General features: G+C 41.6%; 2 annotated features.

Annotated features, from left to right (window-relative positions):
* Window positions 3,506-3,675: an enhancer, noted in NCBI's record as "experimental_14760 CRE fragment used in MPRA reporter constructs". NCBI's record gives its function as "activates a minimal promoter by MPRAs in K562 erythroleukemia cells, with activity observed for both the introgressed and non-introgressed 10:66796261 or rs7081699 variant alleles {active_cell/tissue: K562}" and the evidence as "EXISTENCE:reporter gene assay evidence [ECO:0000049][PMID:34662402]".
* Window position 3,591: a transcriptional cis regulatory region, noted in NCBI's record as "Neanderthal adaptively introgressed variant 10:66796261 (GRCh37/hg19 assembly coordinates) or rs7081699 in the experimental_14760 CRE". NCBI's record gives its function as "modulates activity of the experimental_14760 enhancer by MPRAs in K562 erythroleukemia cells {active_cell/tissue: K562}" and the evidence as "EXISTENCE:reporter gene assay evidence [ECO:0000049][PMID:34662402]".

Here is a 6,664-nt window from a genome sequence, read left to right on the forward strand (position 1 = left end):
GTATTTTATCCACTTTAATCCTTTAATCCTAAAATCTGAAGCACTTTAGAAAGTTGATTTTTTTTTTCCCCTGACACAAGATTTACATGGAACCACTGGTTATTTAGAAAGACCAAGCATTGCTTTTTGGCCACCTAGCCAATCAATTTGTTTGTAAATAATTACTTACACAACCTTTATTCTTGAAGTTCATAGACCACACATTGAAAGCAAACTTTGTTTTAACTGAATAGCCACAAAGAATCAAAAATTATCAGGCACCAACAAAACCTTCGTTTTTTTATTTCTCTGAATTTATATTGCACTTTCAGAAACCACACATGGTTACCTAACATTTCCTAACTAATCCCTAATTATAGAATTATAAGAACATTAAAAGCCCCTGGAGAACACTCTTCCTTTATAACAATAGGAATCAAATTGTATTTCCTTGTACTGCCTCTATAAACTCAGTGAAAGCTGTTGTGCTGACTCCTACCTTTAAACACGTGCCTTATTGTCACAGGTCTTTTCACTGTATGTTTGCACCTCTGATTTTAGAAGTTGGCTTCATGTTTTGGCCTTTCGTTGTAATGAAATTCTGAATATGTTCACTCCAGATTAATCCTTTTTTTTCATTCTCAGGAAAAAATGCAAATGTCAGCCTGTTCTCTGTGTGATGTTTGAAAAACTGGCTGCTTTGCACTTCACTAGTTCCAAGTTTTATGCTAATATTTGTTTTGTGAATTCCACTCCTTAGACTGTGAACTCTTGGATTAGTTTCAGTTTCTAGCATTTTTCTCCTCCTTCTCCGTAATGTAGATGGTGCCAACAAAACCCTATATGCTTTCTTACAAAATCCACCTTTCCTGATATCATTTTTTTATAATAGGGTATATTTTGTACTGTATTAAACAAATATTTTCCATTAGCTATTAACTGTCATGCTCTTTCTTCCTGATACTGACAACTGTTCCTTATTTAATCCTGACAAGACAAGTTTTGTATAACCTACAGAACAGTTCAGACCAATGGATACATGATGAATCCTTAAATATGTTTATAGTACTAGTAGCAGCAACGACCAACCTGGAGAGGCCACTGCCAAGACTTCAGCTGCAGCAAGGGAGATGCAGCTGGCTGTATGCTCCACAGAGCCAGCGGAAACCTGGAGCAGGCAAGAGCCCCGCCCTCCCAGGTCAGGAGACCTGGGCATCTTGGCACTCTTAGGGGACCAGGAAGGTGTCCCTGCCCTGCAGGATTGGAGGTGTTTGCTACCACTGCCTGTGGCCTCTTCTCACTCCCAGCACCTGCTCTATCTCAGAGCAAGGTTGGGGCCAAGCCCAGATGCTGTTGCAGCCTGGCTGGGTATGTGCATGCACGGGCCAGCACTGACACACCAGCCCTCTGTTACCTTGGCCCCCTCCAGACATTGGCCACTGATGAGCACAGAAAGGAGGCCAAGGAGGTGCTGAGGGCAGCTCATCCCTGGCCTGCAGGTACCCCTCAGCATGAACCAGCCTGGGTGCCATGAACAGTGGCAGGAAGCAGACAGGATCCTGGGCAGACAGGGGCAGGTCCTCGGTGAAGCCCCACCTTCAAGCCAGGAAAGGCCTGAAGCCTTGGGCCAGGCTGACAGTTTCGAGGACCAGAGTAGAAACTTGTAGTGCTTTTTCCAAGCCTGCATGTGCCGCCCATGAACAATTGGCATATATTTCCTCCCCTGTGAGGCCCATAAACGCCCCAGACTCAGCCAGACTCAAGAAGACAATGACCTGCTACCTGCACAGAGGAGCTGCCCAGTCCAGGGTCTTCTCTCTGTTAAGAGCTGGGGAGACAATGGGATGAAGATGACCAGCTATGGAGAGGAACTACCCACCCTAGGGTTTCCTCTCTGATAAAAGCTGAGGAGATGACAGGATGACCAGCTGTGGAGAGGAGCTACCCACTTGAGTCTCCTCTCTGTTGAGAGCTGAGAAGACAATGGGATGACCAGGTACAGAGAGGAACTACCCACTCCAGGGTCTCCTCTCTGCTGAGAGCTGAACACTTTTTGGGAAACACTGGCTGCAAAGAGGAGCTACTCACTGTGAGTCTCCTCTGAGCCATTCTATTGCTCAATAAAGCTCCTCTTCACCTTGCTCACCCTCTGCTTGTCCACATACCTCATTCTTCCTGGTCATGGGACAAAAACTCAGAACCTGTTGAATGGCAGGGCTGAAAGAGCAGTAGCAAAAACAGGGATGAAACACACCTCTTGCTCACCACATTGTGGGTGACAAGAAGGAGAGAAGAGCTGTGGCCCTTTGTGGATCCCAGACATAGAAGCTCTTTGAGACAGGACTGTGACACCCTCTTTGGGGCTCTGTGGTTCCTAGCATCTCCAAGCTTCCAGGCACCACTGCATCCCCTAGTACCAACTGTAGAAGAAGCTTTTGGGACACCTGGTCCAGTCACAGCCTTGCAGGGAGCCAGTGCCCATGGCAGCAATTCGAGCTGCCCTCCCTGCTGCAGCCAGCGTGCCTGGCTGCACTCAGTGACTGAACCCCATAATTGCTTGCTTATACACCCCTCACTGCTCCACTTGCCTTTGGCAGGCATAGGTTCCAGGCTGGTAGCATGAGCCGATCACAACCTGCTAGGCTAAGTGGGCCCAGTGGGTCCAAGCAAAACTCAGGCAAAGGCTCCACTGGCCACAGAGGTTTATAGCTGGTGAAGTGATACCCCAAAGATCCCGTAACAGTACTGGACTAGATATTCTGAGAAATAATAAACCCCTGCTTCTGCTAATATGCTTATTTATTTATTTATTATTTATTTATGGTTTCAATGAGTATGTTTGAAATGCCCAGTCCTGTTAGCCACTCCACTTCTTACCTACATGTCCTGAACCACTCAACCAGGTGGCAATACCTCCTGAAAACCTTTTGATTACCCCCCTTTTACATGCTAGATTAATTTATCTCTTTCCTGTGTTCCTATGATGTCTTGTTTATAGGTCTATAGTTGTACTATCTGTGTTTTATAAAATTTTGAACTCCTTTTAAGACCTTGCCTTCCTCTTAATTATCTTAGCTTCCCCAAATTGTGGTACAGTATTGGGTGATAGCAAAATAAATTAATTCATATAAAATCTTGCATTCTACAAAGTCATGCATGCACTGAAAATAACAGAGCTAATAGGAGAATAAGTGTTGGTTAGTCCACCCAAGACTAGTATAAATTCTTAAGGATTCCACTAACAGATAACAAAATTGTATGGGTTTGTAAGAGTCTCATGATTAAGTTTTACTTTCAAAAAATTTAAAAGGTAATATTAAATTATTAATATATAGAATAGACCATAGTAAGGTGGGCATGTTGGCTCACACTTGTAATCCCAGCACTTTGAGAGGCCAAGGTGGGTAGTTCACCTGAGGTCAGGTGTTTGAGACCAGCCTGGCTAACATAGTAAAACCCCACCTCTACTCAAAATATAAAAATTAGCTGGATGTGGTGGCAGGCACCTGTAATCTTAGCTACTTGGGAGGCTGAGGCAGAAGAATTGCTTGAACCCAGCAGGCAGAGGTTGCAGTGAGCCAAGATCGTGCCATTGCACTTCAGCCTGGGTGTCAAGAGCAAAACTCCATCTCAAAAGAAAGAAAAAAAAGACTATGGTAAGCAATAGATTTTCCTTTAAAAATAAAAATAAAAATTTTCTTGATAGCGGCAATGTAAGTTGAGTTACACAACATTGAATTATGAAGTCGAGAGAAAAATTTAAAAAATTGCCTGGAGAATATAACAGGGCAATAAGTACTTCCAAGATTGAATGTATGACCAAATATTGCAAAGAGGAAGAACATGGTGTAAATTGCTATTGCATACACTCAGCTGTGTTAACATTCTGAATTTGAATTCTTGGAAATATCAAAGGTGAAGCAACCTGGCATTTGCTTTATAAAGAATCCTTCTCTTATTTATCAGTTACATATAAACTAACTTGTGATGCAGACGTATGCTTATAGTATATTTGAAAAAGAGAATGGCTTTTAATAAATGCAATTATTCCATGAAAACCCCAAATTTCTTAATCATAAAGGTTTTTATAATATAATATAATATAATATAATATAATATAATATAATATAACATATTCTAAGAACCATGGCAAATGTACTCACTGCACTTTGACGTATTTACCTTGGTGGCTTCGAGATTAACAAAAGTTTGAAAGCTTTGTAAAAATTTGGATCAATGTTCTAAATCTGGGCAATTACGCTGCAAATCCTCCCAGGGGATAGGAGTGAGTGGGGTATCAATAACCCAGGCTTTTCTTTTTTTTTTTGGTAGAATAAGACAAAGGGAGCTGGCCAGAGCCAATCCCCATACACCAAATCTTAGCAAGCATAACTGTAACAACCAGCTATCTGGCTGTGTTGGCAGCATCAGGATTTTTGAGCTGTCCTTACCCCCTTGCTTCATTTTGATACATGTCTTCTAATAACCCAGTTTGTCTCTTCTCACCTTCAGACCATCAAATTACAAATGGTCATGCAACTGGAGTCTCGGACCATGTCTCCCTTTTACTGGAAACCCTCGGATAAGCCTCTGAGAGAGATCTGCCTGTATTCCCAAAGCAGTGGCCCTGTCCACATGAGGCAGTTAAGAGCCATCATCATCTCTATCCTAATGGCAGTTAATGTACCTCTTCAGAGGGGGGAGTTGATAGTGGCAGGAGGCAGACAAATCCCTAGGCAGATAGGGCAGGTCCCCAGTGAAACCCCACTTTCCAGCCAAAGACAGTTTAAATCTTGAAAGTCAAGATACAAATCAAATCCAAGGAAAGGACTGAGAACCTCTCTTCCCATGCGGCATGCTTTCCTCTGATCCCCATCCTTCATCTATTTTGCATATACCTACCTCTCCCTAATTGTTTTTTACACTGTTGTACCCACCTTTGAGTGGTGCCTTTGTTTTAACTTTTTTTTGTATACTCGCAAATCAATCAGCATGTAGTTCTCCATTCAGAGCCTATAAAATCGCCAGACTTAGCCACACTGGGAAAAATCACTCGATTTTGTTTAGTGGGCCACCCTTGTGTCCCCTCTCCGCTGAAAGCTGTTAAGTCACTCAATAAAATATTTCTCCACCCTCCTCACCCTTCAGTTGTCACCATAACCTCATTCTTCTTGGATGCAGGACAAGAGCCTGAGACCCATCAAATGTGGGTACCAGCTGTAACATAGGTGGGCTGGAGCATGCCTGGCCCATCCACAGGCTAAGTGTGGATCTTGTAGTGAGCATGGAATCCAGACCTGTGCGCAAGCCAAGTGTGGTCCAATGGGCCAAGTGGATGGGGCACCTCCTGAAGCATGGCTGGGGGCCGAATGAGACCTGGTTGGGGATGTCACTGGTCACCAGTGGAAGTCCCTGGCTGGCAAAGTGACTGGGAAAAATTTTACATCACCTTCTTTAGAAAATTCTACGTATTCCTCTTAGGAAAATCAGATACAACAGGTATTTAAGAGTAGTTCCTGAATTATTTAGTACACTGTTTGATAGTGTTTGGTCCACTACTATAATTGTAACACATATTTATATGTTAGGAATCTTTAACTTAACATTATTTGGTGAACCCAAGATTAAAATTATTAGTATGCTGTATATATCAATTTAATTGAGTTTGCTGGCATTTTTTCTTCTTCTAATGTTTTCCAGCTTAGATCATCTTTCACTGGCTCAGAACTAAGTTCAGTAGTTAGGACAGGCACCTGCACAATGGTAAGAAAACCTGCACAGTTGTCAGAAAATATGAAGAAATCCTAAACCTAATGGCTGACAGGTATTCTGAGAGTTCAAATTTAAGCAGTTTAATTCAGAAAATATTTTTTGCATACTTTCCATATGCCAGGCATGATTAAATATTTGGAAGACAGATGATGAATAAGATAGAGACTATCCTCAAGAATCTCACAAACTAAGTGACTTAAGTGAGGTTCCAGCCGAGGCTCCTCATTAATTGTGTATGTGGACATGGCTATCATCCTCTAAGAAAGCATTTTTTACTATATTGAATGAAAATAAACAGCCAGATGTTTTTTGGTATAAACGTATCTTTGCATATTTTCTTTTTATATATCCCTGGGAATGCAGCCAGGCAGAGTCCATGTTGTTCAAGGAAAGGGACCCATGTCACCATCTCTGATTGAGCAGTGCCTACATCTATGATCTCAGCCAATTTGCTTCCCTTTCAGATCCATAATTTTCTCATTGTAAAAGGAAGACTTGGACCAGGTTACTACTATGTTTCCTTTTACTACAATAAGCTAGGGCCTTGTTAATTTCATTAAAGATGCAACTAGAATTAGTGTATGGAAATTAAATGCCATTAGATAGTAGTTTTCTAGTCTGGTAGCCTTCTGAAAATGAACAGTTTAATCAAATGCTTGACTGCAGAAAGAGGGATTATAATGTCAGGAAGGGGATAAGTTTTTATAATGTAAACTTAATGATGCAATTTCCTGGAGGCAGTGTGCATGGCAACTTCTCAGCTGGGTTTCAAATTGACTGACTATTTATTATAACAAATATTATAGGTACACAATTTCAGCACTTAAATGAGGCTTTTTTAAGTTTCTAAGGTAACATCATATCTATTTAATTACATCTTTTGAAATAATCACACCTATCTAACCCTTGTTTT

Source organism: Homo sapiens, chromosome 10 (assembly GCF_000001405.40).
Source record: "Homo sapiens chromosome 10, GRCh38.p14 Primary Assembly".
Taxonomy (NCBI): Eukaryota; Metazoa; Chordata; class Mammalia; order Primates; family Hominidae; genus Homo; species Homo sapiens.